General features: G+C 39.1%; 1 long non-coding RNA gene across 1 annotated transcript; it reads left to right on the top strand.

The window, feature by feature from the left end:
• Nucleotides 1-329: 329 nt before the first annotated feature.
• Nucleotides 330-4906, top strand: LOC124901594 (uncharacterized). Its single transcript, XR_007060229.1, has 2 exons — nucleotides 330-399; nucleotides 958-4906. It is a non-coding gene; the product is annotated as an uncharacterized LOC124901594 (long non-coding RNA).
• Nucleotides 4907-16197: the final 11291 nt, after the last annotated feature.

The raw sequence follows: 16197 nt of genomic DNA, 5'->3' as shown, positions 1-16197 counted from the left end.
GGTATTTTACAATAATTTGTATTCATTCATTCATTTTTCAACCTACTTATTCCAGTTCAGGGTGGAGGGTGGCTGGAGCCTCTCCCAGCTCTCTCCTGCTTAACCTCTTCCCTGCAGTTAAGCAGGGAACCAGGCCTAAACATGATGCCATTGCATTGCAGGGCACACTCCCACTAACAACCACACTCACTCAGACTGGGACCACTTAGACATGCCAATTCACCCAATGTGCCCAGCTTTGGAATATGACAGGAAACCCACACAGACATGGGGAGAATGTGTCAATTCCACACAGATAGTGGCCCCAGATGGGAATTAATTTTGTTTTTCTCATCCAGGTTATAAGGAGACAAGTCGAATGAAACGATGTTATTCAAGGACCTGCTGCATTTGGTCTGAGTGAGTCTTCTTTGCTTTCTGTTTTGAATAAAGAGTTGTCTGTCCTCTCCTTCAAAACTAACTCCCCTCACTTTTTCCAAGAACCTATCCAATTATCCTTACAGCATTTTATATGTGTTTCATAAATCTCATCTGCACTCAAGTAGGCACAAGCTGACATAGCTTTAAAATATATTTGCAGATTATAGCCACCTAGCAAAAGGATGGCTACAGGACACAATTTCTATTTCTCTCTATTTCTATTTCTCTCTTCTCTATGAAAAGAGGTATCGGAACACCAAGTTGAGATGACTGAAGTCTACTGACTTCTTCTAACCAGCAATGTGTGCATATCCTAGAATCACTACGGGAATCCCCCTCAGAAGGGGAGGAACAGATGTGCGAGATCACCCAGGGCAACCTCCTTTAGAAATGTCGGCAAGTAATCCCCTTATCCAGGGAAAGCATGGCATTCTATACCCATTGTTCTGCACCTTCCCTTTTTTCAGTACCAGTATGTCTTGGAGGTCTTTCTAGGTCAATAGTCAGCTTGCTCATTCTATTTCTTTTTCTTTGCAGATGCAAACAATTCCTTTGGATGGCTGAATCATAATTTATTTAACCATATACTTTGTGTTCTGAAGCAAAACAGAAAATTGTTTTATCTTTGGGGGAAGAGGGAAACAAGTGGAATCAGGGATGAACCAGCCAAGTACCATCCCAGTAGGGAGCCCTCCCTGGAAGTCACACAGTGCAGGATGCAGCTTCCACCCCCGACCCTGTGGGTCAGAGACAGCAGTGGCACTTGATTGTTCATACTGCTCAGGGTAGACCGACACCCTGCATGGATTGTGTTAGCCCATGGGAGTCCTGTATAATTGAAGAGGAGGGTGTTGACTTGGAAGGAAGAACCGAAGTACCTACTAAAAAGGCAGGTGAATGCTTGAATAACTTATTAGAAAGGCGAAGAATGCGGCCCTATTAGGTCTAAAGTGGTAGAGTGCTTTCTACAGAAAATAAAAGCACAGTATGACTCTCTCTACAGCCAAATTTCATAAATAATATGTCTCAACCTGCTCCTTCTATTTTCTTGTCACTATCTTTTTAAACCTGCTTCCTGTTATCTACTATAAGATTACTCAAAAAATAATGAATGAATGCATGACTGCTACCTAATGGGCTTTCCTTTGTGTCTATTTGACCTAGTATCTATCTCTACAGCACTTGACATGTGCCTCTGCTAAAACAGCAGTGCAGGCTTCATCATCCATCCTCCTTGAAATTATTATTTCGTAGTTTCATGAATTCCTTTCTAGCCTATTCTCCTACTCCTCTGTCTCTTTTTCTTTCTATCTTCTGCCTCTTTCCTATCTTTGCCTGCTCCTCCTCCTTAAATGTTAGCTTCCCCAACTACGACTATAATTTAAGATTTAATAGATATCTTTATGTATAAGGATATAGAATAGGATAAAAGGAAAGAAAAAATACCTTATCACAAAACTCCAATGAAAAGGAAATTGTAGAGCCATAACGATATTAGAAAAAGCAAACTTTAAGAAATGATACTAAAGATCAGTAGATATATTTTGTACTAGAAAAATCTCATTTTAACAGAAAGATATAACAAGTCTAAATATATCTGCCCCTGACAAGCTTCCAAATCAATAAAGAAAAAAAGAGACAGAACTAACAGAAGAACTAAACAAATTCATGATGATAGTGGGAAAATGTAACATACTCCTCTCATTAACTGAAAGAACAAAAAAGGCATTAAAGAAGCATTGTAGAAGGTCTGAACACTATGATGAACAAACTTGACTTAATTGACATTTATACAACACTGTATTCAACATTCCAGAGTCCATATTCTTTTCCAAAGCAATGGAACATTTACCAAAATAGAAAATTTTCTAGGCCATAAAGCAAGTCGTAGCAAATTTCAAAGGATTGAAATAATACCAAGAACGTTTTCTGGTTTCTGTGGGATTAAGCTAAAATCAATAACAGAAAGCAAATTAGAAAATTTCTAAATTTGTTAAAATTAAGCAACACATTCTGAATAGCCCATGTGTCAAATTAGAAAAGATAACATCTCACAGCCATAAAACTGAGCAAAGAAGACAGACGTGAAGGGGTAGATGCTAGACAACTTCAAGTATGTAAGGTTCCAAATCATCTCTAGTGACAGAGATCAGAATAGTGGCTATCTTTGCAGGAAGAGAATTATGAGAAAAACTTCTAAGATGGTGGTAATAGTCTACATCATAATTTTCTGGGTTATGTGACTGCATCACTTTCTAAAATTTTGCTTAAAATTTGTACATCGTACTATGCTATATTTAAATACAAACTTTACTAAAAGAAGCAATTAAATTTTTGTTAAATAGAGCTTATCTTTAACAACACTCCTTGCTTCTCCTCATCCACTACTACGGTTTCAGTAATTTCCTCTATGCCTTGGCTCTATAACTCTATCATATTTCTGACGTCTAATTTTAGTACCAGTCCTGAGCAATGAAATTTATTCCTATTAGACATGCCATTCATGATCCCATTGTAACAGGTTTAAAACTGAAATCTGCTAGAAGATTTCTTTCTACCGTCTCAACAGTGCTATTATTTGCCCAATTACACAGGCTCACGACAACCAGTTGTCCTTAAATTTTCTATTGTTTTAAGTGTCCATACCTTGTCATGAACACCTGAAGATCTTTTCTTCAAATTATCTCTTGCCTACCCCAACTATTTCCATTTTCACTAATCCGATGAAGGACCCATTTCCCTATAAGAGAGCCCCAGTTATCCTTGACCACGAAACCATGACTTTCTGCCAAGAGTACTGCAACAGTCTCCTCACTGGCCTCAGACTTCAGCTGCTCCTCCTTCCAAAGCCTCCTTTGCACAGCTGCTGCATAAATCTGCTTAAAACGTTATTTTTGTCATATGTTTCTCTAATTAAAACAAAAACTTTTTATTATTTTCCATTAACTGAAAGAAAAATGGAAAGTTTTGAGCCTAATATACAGTTTTACATATTCTGACTCCAACTTGTTTTTCTAGTTTTCCTAAATCTCCCATAGCTAAATCAGCCTTTATTATCTCCATAATCTTCTTTGTGCTTATTTTCCAACCTCACTTGTCCATCTCATTTTTCTCCAGATATTTAAATCTTATCCCTCACTTCAGAGCATTACACCACAAGAGGCCTTAGGATTTGCAACCACATAGACTAAGATGCAAATGCTAGCTTTGCCATTGATTGGCACTGTGACCTTGGGCAAGTTAGTTCACCTCAGACCCTCAGTCTCAGACCCTCATCTGTACTCCACAGATAATTATTAGGTACTTCCCATCTGCCAAAGACTGTACTACGCTTAAGGATGCAAGGGCGACCAAAGGCAGACAAATGCATCTCTGTCATCATGGAACTTCCAGCCCAACAAAAGAGAAACATTAATAAAATCCCGTAAGACCCACGTTGCACAGTGTTAGAACTAAAGTGAATACATGCAAAGCAAGTAACTCAGTGTTGAACACTTTATGGGTAGAAAAAATAATGGTTATTACTAATCCTCCAAAACCCAGCAAAATACCCATCTTCTGTGATAAGTCTAACACTTCAATTTCCTCTCCAAGGACTCTGGAAATTAAGATCACCCTCATGTTACCATGAAGTCTACAAATATCCCCTCATTCTCCAAGTTCTTCTTTTACTGTCTTTACCATGCATCTGACAACTGACCATGTACTTTTCAGAGGTAATTTCTTTTGTTATATTGCCATTAAACAGGGCAAGCATTTTATCTCAGCAACTCAATCTAAGCTTTTTAAGAGTATGGACTGAGTTTTTAAAAGTTTGATATGCACTAAAGCTCCCAGAACATGCTAAATATTTGTTGATTTAGTGAGTCCAGCCCTACAAGTCCAGCTCTATGAATCCCTATGGAGTACTTGAAGTGATTCCAGAGGTTTTCTTCCCCCACATAGAAAAACAATCTGGCCTAGAATATTGGGAAGTGGAAACATCATTACTCATTTACCCTCTTTGAGAGTTTCTCCCACCCATTTTCCTCTTTAGCCTGCCAAAATGTTTCAAATTTCTAGGAGCCCAGGAAAAGGCTGGTTTTGGCAGCAGACAAGAAAAGGATGAAATGTTGATTACGAGGGGAAAAAAGTTAAAATGAGCCAGAGCCAGAATCCCTGAAAAAAAATTTAAATTGAATTTCTAAAAGGAGCCTTGATTCTTGGAGTATGTTTATTTCCCATTGAGCTTGGGAGATTATCCAAAGGAAGTTAAAACCAAAATATTTCCCACTAGGAATAGTAGACATTGGCTTGCCAAGTTTAGAATCTACTAACTCATTGGGCCCTAGATTTTGAAGCAGTCACAAAGAATACCATTTCACTTTTCCCTGGGGAAATGATTTCCAGCTTCATAGTTTTAAAGTGTTTGAAGATGTAAAATTATACTCAAATAATATCTTATGAATGTTAATTTTAAAGAATAAAAAACACAAGTATGTTTGAATGATGAGAAGGCTATTTTGTTAGAATTTGAAATCTTTAATATTAAGACAAAAAGAGAGGACGTGATAATAAATTTTTAAACTATGTGCCTGAATTATAAGCCATAATAATTCTAGCAGTCTGCCTCAAAACATCTGAAACCGGCTAGGCGCGGTGGCTCGCGCCTGTAATCCCAGCACTTTGGGAGGCCAAGGTGGGCGGATCACAAGGTCAGGAGATCGAAACCATCCTGGCTAACACGGTGAAACCCCATCTCTACTAAAAAGTAGAAAAAAATTAGCCAGGCGTGGTGGTGGGCACCTGTAGCCCCAGCCACTCGGGAGGCTGAGGCAGGAAAATGGTGTGAACGCGGGAAGTGGAGCTTGCAGTGAGCCGAGATCACACCACTGCACTACAGCCTAGGCGACAGAATGAGACTCTGTCTCAAAAAAAAAAAAAAAAAAAAATCGGAAATCAATGTTCTAAAATACAGGTTTAAAATAGCCGCCCACACCTCTCTGAGTACCCACTGTTCAGCAACTAATGTCTGTTAACATCAATCATCCAACTGGATTAATTAGCCATATTTTGTTCCCTGCTTGTATAAATTCCACGGATATTTTCCAGATGACAGTGGCCTTCAAAGCACTATGTCAGGTTCTATGGGGACACAAAAATGAATGGCATACTCTCAGCCCTTCAGAATCATATCTTGGTTAGGGAGTCAGACACCTACAATCATAACACAATCATGAAAATGTTACAAAGCAGCCTCTCAGAAACACGATAATAGAGATCCATATGCTGTGCCATGGGAGATGAGACTCATGGACGGGTGGTGGTGGGTCCGGAATTTATTCCTTCCAATGGGTTCTTGGTCTGGCTGACTTCAAGAATGAAGCCGCAGACCTTCACAGTGAGTGTTACAGCTCTTAAAGATGGTGTGTCCAGAGTTTGTTCCTTCAGATGTTCAGATGTGATCCGGAGTTTCTTCCTTCCGGTGGGTTCATGGTCTCGCTGACTTCAAGAATGAAGCTGTGGACCTTCCAGTGAGGGTTACAGCTCTAAAAGGTGGCACATCCAGAGTTGTTTGCTCCTCCCAGAGGGTTCATGGGCTCCTTGACTTCAGGAATGAAGCCACAGACCCACTCGCTGGGAGTGTTACAGCTCATAAAGGTAGTGTGGACCCAAACAGTGAGCAACAGCAAGATTTATTGTGATGAATGAAACAACAAAGCCCCCACGAGGTGGAAGGGCACCCCAGCGGGTTGCTGTTGCTGGCTCCAGTGGTCAGCTTTTATTCCCTTATTTGGCCCCGCCCACATCCAGCTGATTGGTCCATTTTACAGAGCGCTGATTGGTCCACTTTACAGATTGCTGATTGGTCCATTTTACAGAGTACTGATTGGTGCGTTTACAATCCTTTAGCTAGACGCAGAGTGCTGATTGGTGCGTTTTTACAGAGTGCTGATTGGTGCTTTTACAATCCTTTAGCTAGACACAGAGCACTGAATGGTGCATTTACAATCCTCTAGGTAGACATAAAAGTTCTCCAAGTCCCCAGTCGACCCAGGAAGTCCAGCTCGCTTCACCTCTCAGTAGGAACATAGCATATACACATTCAACTGAGGGAATCCAGGAAGGATTCACAGAAAGATGGCCTTTGATCAATTAATCAGTAGAAATTATTTGTTGGGCAGAAGTTTTCCAGACAGAAGGAACAGCTTGAAGAAAAAGTTTACAAAAAGAATATTTTTTAAAAAGACAGAGTGTGTGTGTGTGTGTGTGTGTGTGTGTGTGTGTGTGTGTGTATGTGTAGGGTTTTGGTGCCAGTGTACAAGGTATGCTATAAGAGTATAGGAGAAGCTCAAATGAGAAAGGCCAGTGAATGGCTTACACAAAGTATGAAACAATCAGAGGCTGGGTGCGGTGGCTCACGCCCGTAATCCCAGCACTTTGGGAGGCCAAGGCGGGTGGATCACGAGGTCAAGAGATTGAGACCATCCGGGTCAACATGGTGAAACCTCTTCTCTACTAAAAATACAAAAATTAGCAGGCCATGGTGGCACGTGCCTGTAGTCTCAGCTACTTGGGAGGCTGAGGCAGGAGAATCGCTTGAACCCGGCAGGCAGAGGTTGCAGTGAGCCGAGATTGCTCCACTGCACTCCAGCCTGGGTGACAGAACAAGACTCTGTCTCAAAAACAACAACAACAACAATAGGGAATTCTAGGATTCCCTGGCACCCCAACATGGTTATGGGGCTCAGGCCTAGCCTGGATGCAATGACAGACTGTCACAGAGCAAATACAGATTCTGATTCAGAGAAGACATTGAGGTTCAGTTTTAGAAGAGGCACGGCAGTTGCCACATTCAAGGGACAAGTATAAAGAAAATGAGGAAGAGCTCAGGACCCAAGAGGACAGCAGTGAATAAGTCACAACAGATGGTGAGTGAAGGTGTAAACCTTGGGAACCTCTAGCAGGAGCCACCTCCTGTGTGGAAGGTGACCAGAGGGCAGTGCAGCCAGTGCCATGACCCAGGGCCAAGATGTAATGATTGCAATGCTGCTACCTCCACCATTTGGTAAAGCAGATTTCAGTCAACTAGTTTGGTTTTCTCATCTACAATATGTAAAGCAAGTGGTCTCATTTTGGCTTTGATTTGACTTTTTTTTTTTTTTTTTTTTGAGATGGAGTCTCGCTCTGTCACCCAGGCTGGAGTGTGGAGTGGTGCCATCTCAGCTCGCTGCAACCTCCACCTCCCAGGTTCAAGTAATTCTCCTGCCTCAGCCTCCCAAGTAGCTGGGACTACAGGCAAGCACCACCATGCCCAGCTAATTTTTGTATTTTTTGTAGAGATGGGGTTTCACCATGTTGGCCAGGATGGTCTTAATCTCCTGACCTCATGATCTGCCTGCCTTGGCCTCCCAAAGTGCTGGGGTTACAGGCGTGAGCCACCACACTCAGCCTGATTTGACTAGTTCTTTCAAAATGTTATAGAGCTGGGTCTCCTTTTATGCAGATTTGGGGATGTATAGAAGATGTCACAGCATAGATATTATGGTTATACAACATGATTTCTTCACAGGAATGTATCATCATCACGTATTTTAGATTCTCCAGATGATAGCTCAAGCTTGTTTAATATTAGCATTTTGAAAACTGATGAAACTACTCATAAGTACTGTAATCAATAAGCCATTTGATAATCAGTTTTATATATATGTGGAAAAAAATAGATATTGTATTTCTTAAATATATTCAATGATTGAAGGTGGGGAAATAAGTTGGAACACCAATGTTTTTATTTTATTTTATCCAATATTATTTTGTATCTATCTTATACAGGAATTTTCTTTGGTTGTTTGTCTTAGAGAGCTGTTGACACAAGATTTCTGCTAAATACTCAACTCCTAGTGCCCTTTTGCCACTTTCCAACTCTTTCACTCTGCCTCTAACCCTCTAATTCATTTGCACCATCTCCTTCCTTCCAAAAACTAAAATATACTTTTGTGCATGAATTCATGACACAATCAGCAATGTAATTACAGGACACAAACTAGTCTTTATTTCCCCTTTGTCAATAAATCTTCCAATAGGGAGGGATGACTTTTTTGAAGGGTAGTCTGGTTTCCTTCTAATACCATCCCCCAAAACATTCACTTCTTTCTCTGCAATATTTCTCTGATGAGGAGGAAAAATCATAAGAGAGTAGATAGGAGAAAGTGAGAGAAGAATCAGGAAGACCAAAAATTATACTTCAGGAAGTCCAGCCTACAAAACATAGCCTGCTGAAAGAATACCATGAATCGAAACAGCAAAAGATTTGAATGAATGGACTTAAGACAATATGTATGGAGAATAATGAAACCTGAGACTATGGTAATTGACAGGCTGTGATTACTAGGATAAAGAGTTTAGCCTCTGCCCAAACACTATTAGCCCTGCTGAAAGGTTTTAAGTCAGGAAGTAAGAAATGCAATATGTCTAGCATGAGCTTTATGTTTCTGACGTAAACAAACACTGAGATAAGAAATACCGGAAGAGATAAAGATTTGAGGCCAATGGAGTGGGTTTGATGAGGTAAACATTAGAAGATGAATCAATTAAAATACATGTAGATCACGATTCGAGTTTTGAATCCCTTGCTCCAGGCCTGTGTTAAAATGCCTCTCCTCTATGATCCTGTAATTCTCTACCATAGCATATATCATACTATACCTGAATTGCTCTTATTTATTTCTTTGTTTGCTTGCTTTATTTTGTCTTGTTTTGTCTTCTTTATGGGATTTTTAAAAATTAAGACCATAATAATAACTAGCATTTTTGAACTTATAATGTGCTAGCTACTCTATGCCAGACACTACATATATTTACTCATCTAATGATTAACAAATGAGATAAGTGTCTTTATTATTACCCATTTCATTCAGCAAAAACGGTTAAATTGCCAAAGCCAGCCAAATTAGAAAGTTCTTGAACCAAGCTAGAACCAGGCCTTGAACCTAAGTAGATCCATTTAGTTCCAAAGCTTATACCCTTAGTCTCTTCACTCTGATATGCTCCCAGATATCATTGATTATATGATGTTCAGAGGCAAACATATAGCCTTCATATTCTCCTGACTTTGTTTAATGCCTATAATGTAAGTTCATTGAAGGAAATAATTTCCTTCATTAACTTCAGGAAACTGGCCATAAAGTTATAACACTCTTTTTTAATGCCCTTTTTACTACCTATAATATAAGTTCATTGAAGGAAATTATTTCCTTCATTAACTCCAGGAAACTGGCCACAAAGTTATAACACCCTTTTGTCTACATTGATATATAATAATACAGGTGTTTCATATTTTCTGGTCATCATTTCCTCTGTTTGCAAAAGAAACAGTAAGATGTAACAGAGAAAATAACTTGAGCGTTAGCCCCAACTCTACCACTTGCAGAATGGCCTTGATATTTTAGGCCTCCATTGGATGAAGGCATTTGCACTAGAATCTCCAATGTCTTCCAGCTCTATAATTCTGGCATTTTCTCATGTTCACATTACTCTAAACTTCTACAATGCCTTTATATTATAGGAAGCATTTAATCCAAATGTTTTAGACGGACAAACTTAGGAATCCGCACATTATAACTTCCTTGTTCCAGAAAGGAATAATAAAACTCAGCTATCCCATTAAATACTTATTGTTCCAGAGCGGGGAAAAAATAGACCCTAGCTATTCTCTCTTCTATCCACTAGGTCTTACTAATTCCAAGTCTATGATTTCAACTGCCTTTATTGGCCATCCAAAAGCCTGTGATTCACTACATAGTTTAGCATTTACTTTGTAGACCCAAAATAGAGCTCTACCAGGCCCTTCTCTGCAGCTTTTATGTTTCCTAAATCCAGCCCATCCCCAGGATAGCTATTAGGATAGCCATCTGTTTCTTAAGTGGCTCTGCACACCCCTTCCTGAGTTACATCTCCAGTGTGAGGCAAATGTTTATAAAAAGGCAGAAACAACTGCTTACATTTCACTTCTTCAAAGCACTGCCTACAACACTTTTTCTCCCGTATAACAGCACTTCTTCAAAATACTCTTTCTGCATTGCTGTTGTGGATTTTTAAGAATTTATTTTGCTAACTCTTTTTGCTCTCTTTAGGAGTATATTCCTTAAATTTAGATTTAGAATGCTCTAAATCCCCATGACAAACAGAAGACGTGGCCAAAATCTAGATTCTTACTATTAAAATAAAAAGCATGCAATTTTATAAAAATGTTATGGCAAGCATTCTCAATTACATAATCAATGTTCAATTTGAAAAACTTCCAACACTTTTACTCTTATATGGAAGTGTACATTTTTACAACTTAAAAGCATCCAGTTATCAAAATTTTCCAAATGAGCTAAAAGTTTCTGGCCAATTTAATCCCATCATTTTAGCTTAGAAATAAGAACAATAAGAAGCTAGGGACAAGGTTCTAAGAAAATAAACAGAATCCTTAGGCCACAAAAGGAGCTAAAGATAATTGAGTCCATCATCTTCTATAAACAGATGCCGATTTTACAACCCCTAAACAAACACTAAATAAATATATGTAATAAATAAGCAAATAATATATAATACAAAAATGTAAGCTTAATATATAAATAAGTATATATTATTAAGTTGACAAACAAATAAATAGCAAATTTTCATTTTATATAATCATTTTATATATACAATAAGCATATGGTAAAAAATTATAATTACTTCTAAATACATTTCAGAGTGCATTAGTTGATGAGTTTCAAAACTTGTTAATATTTCAGACATTTCCAAAAAGAGATTCTAATGTTATAATTATCTCATCATTTTATAAGAGATGATTCACAGCTGAATTCTACCAGATGTACAAAGAAGAGCTGGTACCATTCCTATAAAAACTATTCCAAAAATTTGAGGAGGAGGCACTCCTCTCCAACTCATTCTATGAGGCCAGCATCATCTTGATACCAAAACCTGGCAGAGAAAAAACAAAAAACAAGAAAACTTCAGGCCAATATCCTTGATGAACATCAATGCAAAAATCCTCAACAAAGTACTCACAAACCGAATCCAGCAGCATATGAAAAAGCTAATCCACCATAGTCAAGTAGGCTTCATCCCCAGGATGCAAAGCTGGTTTGACATATGCAAATCAATTAGTGTGATTCATCACATAACTAAAGACAAAAGCCACATGATTATCAAAACAGACACAGAAAAGGCCTTAGATAAAATTTAACATCCCTTCATATTAAAAACTCTCAATAAACTAGGTGTTGAAGGAACATACCTAGTTCAAGATAAATTTTAAGTTTTAAGAACAAAATAACAAGAGCCATTTATAATAAACCAAAGGCCATTATGCTGAATGGTCAAAAGCTGGAAGTATTCCCCCTGAAAACTGGCACAAGGCAAGGATGCCCTCTGACTCTACTTCCACTCAACATAATATTGGAAGTCCTAGCCAGAGCAATCAGGCAAGAGAAAGAAATAAAGGGCATCCAAATAAAAAGGGAGGAATTAAAACTATCTCTGTTTGCAGATGAATGATTCTACATCTAAAAAACCCCTTGGCTGGGAGTGGTGGCTCACACCTGTAATCCCAGCACTTTGGGAGGCCAAGGCTGGTGAATCACAAGGTCAGGAGTTCGAGACCAGCCTGGCCAACATGGGGAAACCCCATCTCTACTAAAAATACAAAAATTAGCTGGGTGTGGTGGTGGGCGCCAGTAATCCCAGCTACTCAGGAGGCTGAGGCAGGAGAATTGCTTGAACCCAGGAGGCGGAGGTTGCAGTGAGCCAAGATCATGCCACTGCACTCCAGCCTGGGTGACAGAGCAGGACTCCATCACGAAAAAAAAAAAAAAAAAAAGAGCAGAAAAGAAAACCCCATAGTCTCAGCCCAAAAGCTCCTTCAGCTGGTAAACAACTTCAGCAAAGTTGCAGGATACAAAATCAATGTCCAAAAGAAAAACTAGCATTCCAATACACCAACAATAGCCAAACCAAGAGCTAAACCACAAATGCCACAAAAAGAATAAAATACCTAGGAATACAGCTAACCAGGGAGGTGAAAGATCTCTACAATGAGAATTACAAAACACTGCTCAAAGAAAGCAGAGAAGACACAAACAAATGGAAAAATCATCCCATTCTCATGGATAGGAAGAATCAATGTCACTAAAATGGATATACGGCCCAAGGCAATTTACAGATTCAATGCTATTCCCATCATACTACTAATGACATTCTTCACAGAACTAGAAAAAAATATTTTAAAATTCATATGGAACCAAAAAAGAGCCCAAATAGCCAAGGCAATCCTAAGCAAAAAGAACAAAGCTGGAGACATCAGGTTACCCAACTTCAAATCATACCACAAGGCTACAGTAACCAAAACAACATGGTAGTGGTACAAAAACAGACACATAGACCAATGGAACAGAATAGAGAGCCCAGAAATAAGGCCACACATTTATGACCATCAGACCTTCAACAAAGCTGACAAAAACAAGCAAGGGGGAAAAGATTCCCTTTTCAATACATGGAGCTAGGATAACTGGCTAGCCATATACAGAAGATTGAAGCTGGACCCTTCCTTACACCATATACGAAAATAAACTGAAGATGGATTAAAGGCTTAAATGTAAAACCCAAAACCCTGGAATACAGCCTAGGCAATATCACCCTGGACATAGGAATGGGCAAAGGTTTCATGACAAAGACATCAAAAGCAATTGCAACAAAAGCAAACATTGACAAGTAGGATCTAATTCAACTTAAGAGCTTTTGCACAGCAAAAGAAAAAGTATCAACAGAGTAAACAGACAACCACAGAATGGGAGAAAATATTTGTAATTTATCCATCTGACAGAGGTCTAGTGTCCAATGTCTATAAGGAACTTAAACAACTTTGCAAGAAAAAAAAACAACTCTATTAAAAAGTGGGCAAAGGACAGGAACAGACACTTCTCGAAAGAAGACATACATGTGGCCAGCAAGCATAAAGAAGCTCAATATCACTGATCATTAGAGAAATGAAAATCAAAACCACAATGAGATACCATCTCACACCAGTCAGAATGGCAATTTAAAAAGTCAAAAAAAAATAGCAGATGCCGGTGAAGTTGCGTAGAAAAGGAACACTCATACACTGTTGGTGGGAGTGTAAATTAGTTCAAACATTGTGGAAAGCAGTATGGTGATTCCTCAAAAAGCTAAAAGCAGTACTACTATTTGACCCAGCAATCCCATTGCTGAGTATTTATCCAGAGGATTATAAATCATTCTACTATGAAGGCACCTGCACACGTATGTTTATTGCAGTACTATTTATAATAGCAAAGACATGAAATCAACCTAAATGCCCATCAATGACACATTGGATAAAGAAAATGTGGTACATATATACCATGGAATACTATGCAGCCATAAAAAAGAATGAGATCATGTAGGCCGGACACGGTGGCTCATGCCTGTAATCCCAGCACTTTGGGAGGCCAAGGCAGGTGGATCACAAGGTCAGGAGTTGGAGACCAGCCTGACCAACATGGTGAAACCCCGTCTCTACTGAAAATACAAAAATTCACTGGTTGTGGTGGCAGGCACCTCTAATCCCAGTTACTCAGGAGGCTGAGGCAGGACAATCACTTGAACCTGGGAGGGGGAGGTTGCAGTGAGCTGAGATCACGCCACTGTACTCCAGCCTGGGCGACAGAGGGAGACTCCATCCTAAAAAAAAAAAAAAAAAAAAGATCATGTCTTTTGCGGGAGCATGAATGGAGCTAGAGGCTATCATCCTTAGCAAACTAACAAAGGAACAGTAAGCCAAATACCATATGTTCTCACTTATAAGTGGGAACTAAATAATAAGAACTTACAAACACAAAGAAGGAAACAACACACACCGAGGCCTACTTAAGCGGGGACGGAAGAGGTAGGGAGAGGAGTAGAAAAGATAACTATTGGGTACTGGGCTTAATATCTGGATGATGAAATATTAGATTTGTGCAAAAGTAATTGCGGTTTCAGACCGTGAATTTTACATCATTTTAACTAGGCTCAAACACATCTTTATTAATCAAAATAGCAACCCTTAAAATCAACACATTTTTACCAATGAGAAATAAGTTTGTTTATTCCTGTAGCGTAAAAATCTGTGCTTCAGGATTCGATTAACTCTTGGAAAGCATTTTCTGCATCTTGCTGGTTGTGGAAGCATTTTCCCTGCAAAAAGTTGTCGAGATGCTTCAGGAAGTGGTAGCTGGTTGGCAAGAGGGCAGGTGAATATGGCAGGTGAGGCAAAACTTCGTAACGCAATTCATTCAACTTTTGAAACGTTGGCTGTGCGACACGTAGTCTGGCATTGTTATGGAGAAGAATTGAGCCCTTTCTGTTGACCAATGCCGGATTCAGGCATTGCAGTTTTCAGTGCATCTCATTGATTTGCTGAGCATAATTCTCAGACGTAGTGGATCAGACTGGCAGCAGACCACCAAACAATGACCATGACTTTTTTTTTTTGGTGCAAGTTTGGCTTTGAGAAGGGCTTTGGAGCTTCTTCTAGGTCCAACCACTGAGCTGGTTGTCACTGATTGTTGTATAAAATCCACTTTTTGTTGCACATCACAGTCCAATCCCAGAAATGGTTTGTTGTTGTCGTGTAGAATAAGAGAAGAAGACACTTCAAAATGACAACTTTTTTCTTTGCTCAGCTCATGAGGCACCCACTTATCAAGCTTTTTTACCTTTCCAATTTGCTTCAAATGCCAAATGACCACAGAATGGTTGACACTGAGTTCTCCAGCAACTTCTCCTGCAGTCGTGAAAGGATCAGCTTCGATGATTGCTCTCAGTTGGTCATTGTCAGCTTCCAGTAGTTGGCCACAATGCTCCTTATTATCAAGGCTCTTGTCTCCTTTGCAAAACTTCTTGAACCACCACTGGTGGTTGCAAGTTGTTTCTATTGCTTTATTACCCATTTTGAACTCAAACAAGAAAATTGCTTGAATTTGCTTTTTGTCTAACATCACTTCCATAGTCCAAAATAAACATAAACAGCAAGTAGTAAGCCATTAGAAAAAAAATTAAAGCAAGAAATGTGCATTAAAATGATGCATTAATATAACATAACTATGTTTAAGAGTGTATTCCAATATCAAACAGCAAACTTCAACAATGCAAAAAACCACAATTATTTTGTTACATAGGTAAACATGTGTCACGGGGGTTTGTTGACAAACCCCCAAACCTAAAATAAAAGTTAAAAAGAAAAACACAAGAGACAGGCAGACAGAAAATGAGACAAAGGAACATTACCAAATTTAAAAAAAAAATTAGGAAGATCTCCTCCAAATCCTAAATTCTGAAGCAGTCAAGGCACCAAGATAGCAAACCACATGGGCTGAATTGGATGTACAAGTGGAGCCCTGAGAAATCTATGGGTCAAAGTCAGATGTGTTGGATATTTGAGTGACAGGTCTGAGATAGAGGAGTAGTCACCTACAGTGATGTCAGCTAAGTCCAGTTTTGCATAGAGAATCTGGGCACATGAGACAGGAGAGGCCATGATAAGGCCATTTTTAGTGGGCCTGAGAATACTCAAGGAAGGAACAAGCTGAAGCTTTGGCCACATGCTGAGCTTCAGCATGTGACCCAACAGAAATCTGTTTTCAGAAGGCAAATGGAACCCACTTTAGAAAGTTCTTTCCAAAAGGAAAAGCAGCAGGCAGGTAACAACCTTTATCGAGTTAGAAAACCTTAGTGTCAAAAGAAGTAAAGTGATTCTTTACCTAGACA

The sequence above is a fragment of the Homo sapiens genome, chromosome 7 (genome assembly GCF_000001405.40).
Source record: "Homo sapiens chromosome 7, GRCh38.p14 Primary Assembly".
NCBI lineage: Eukaryota > Metazoa > Chordata > Mammalia > Primates > Hominidae > Homo > Homo sapiens.
The sequence above is the reverse complement of the archived record's forward strand: the minus strand, read 5'-3'. Positions and strand labels throughout refer to the sequence as shown.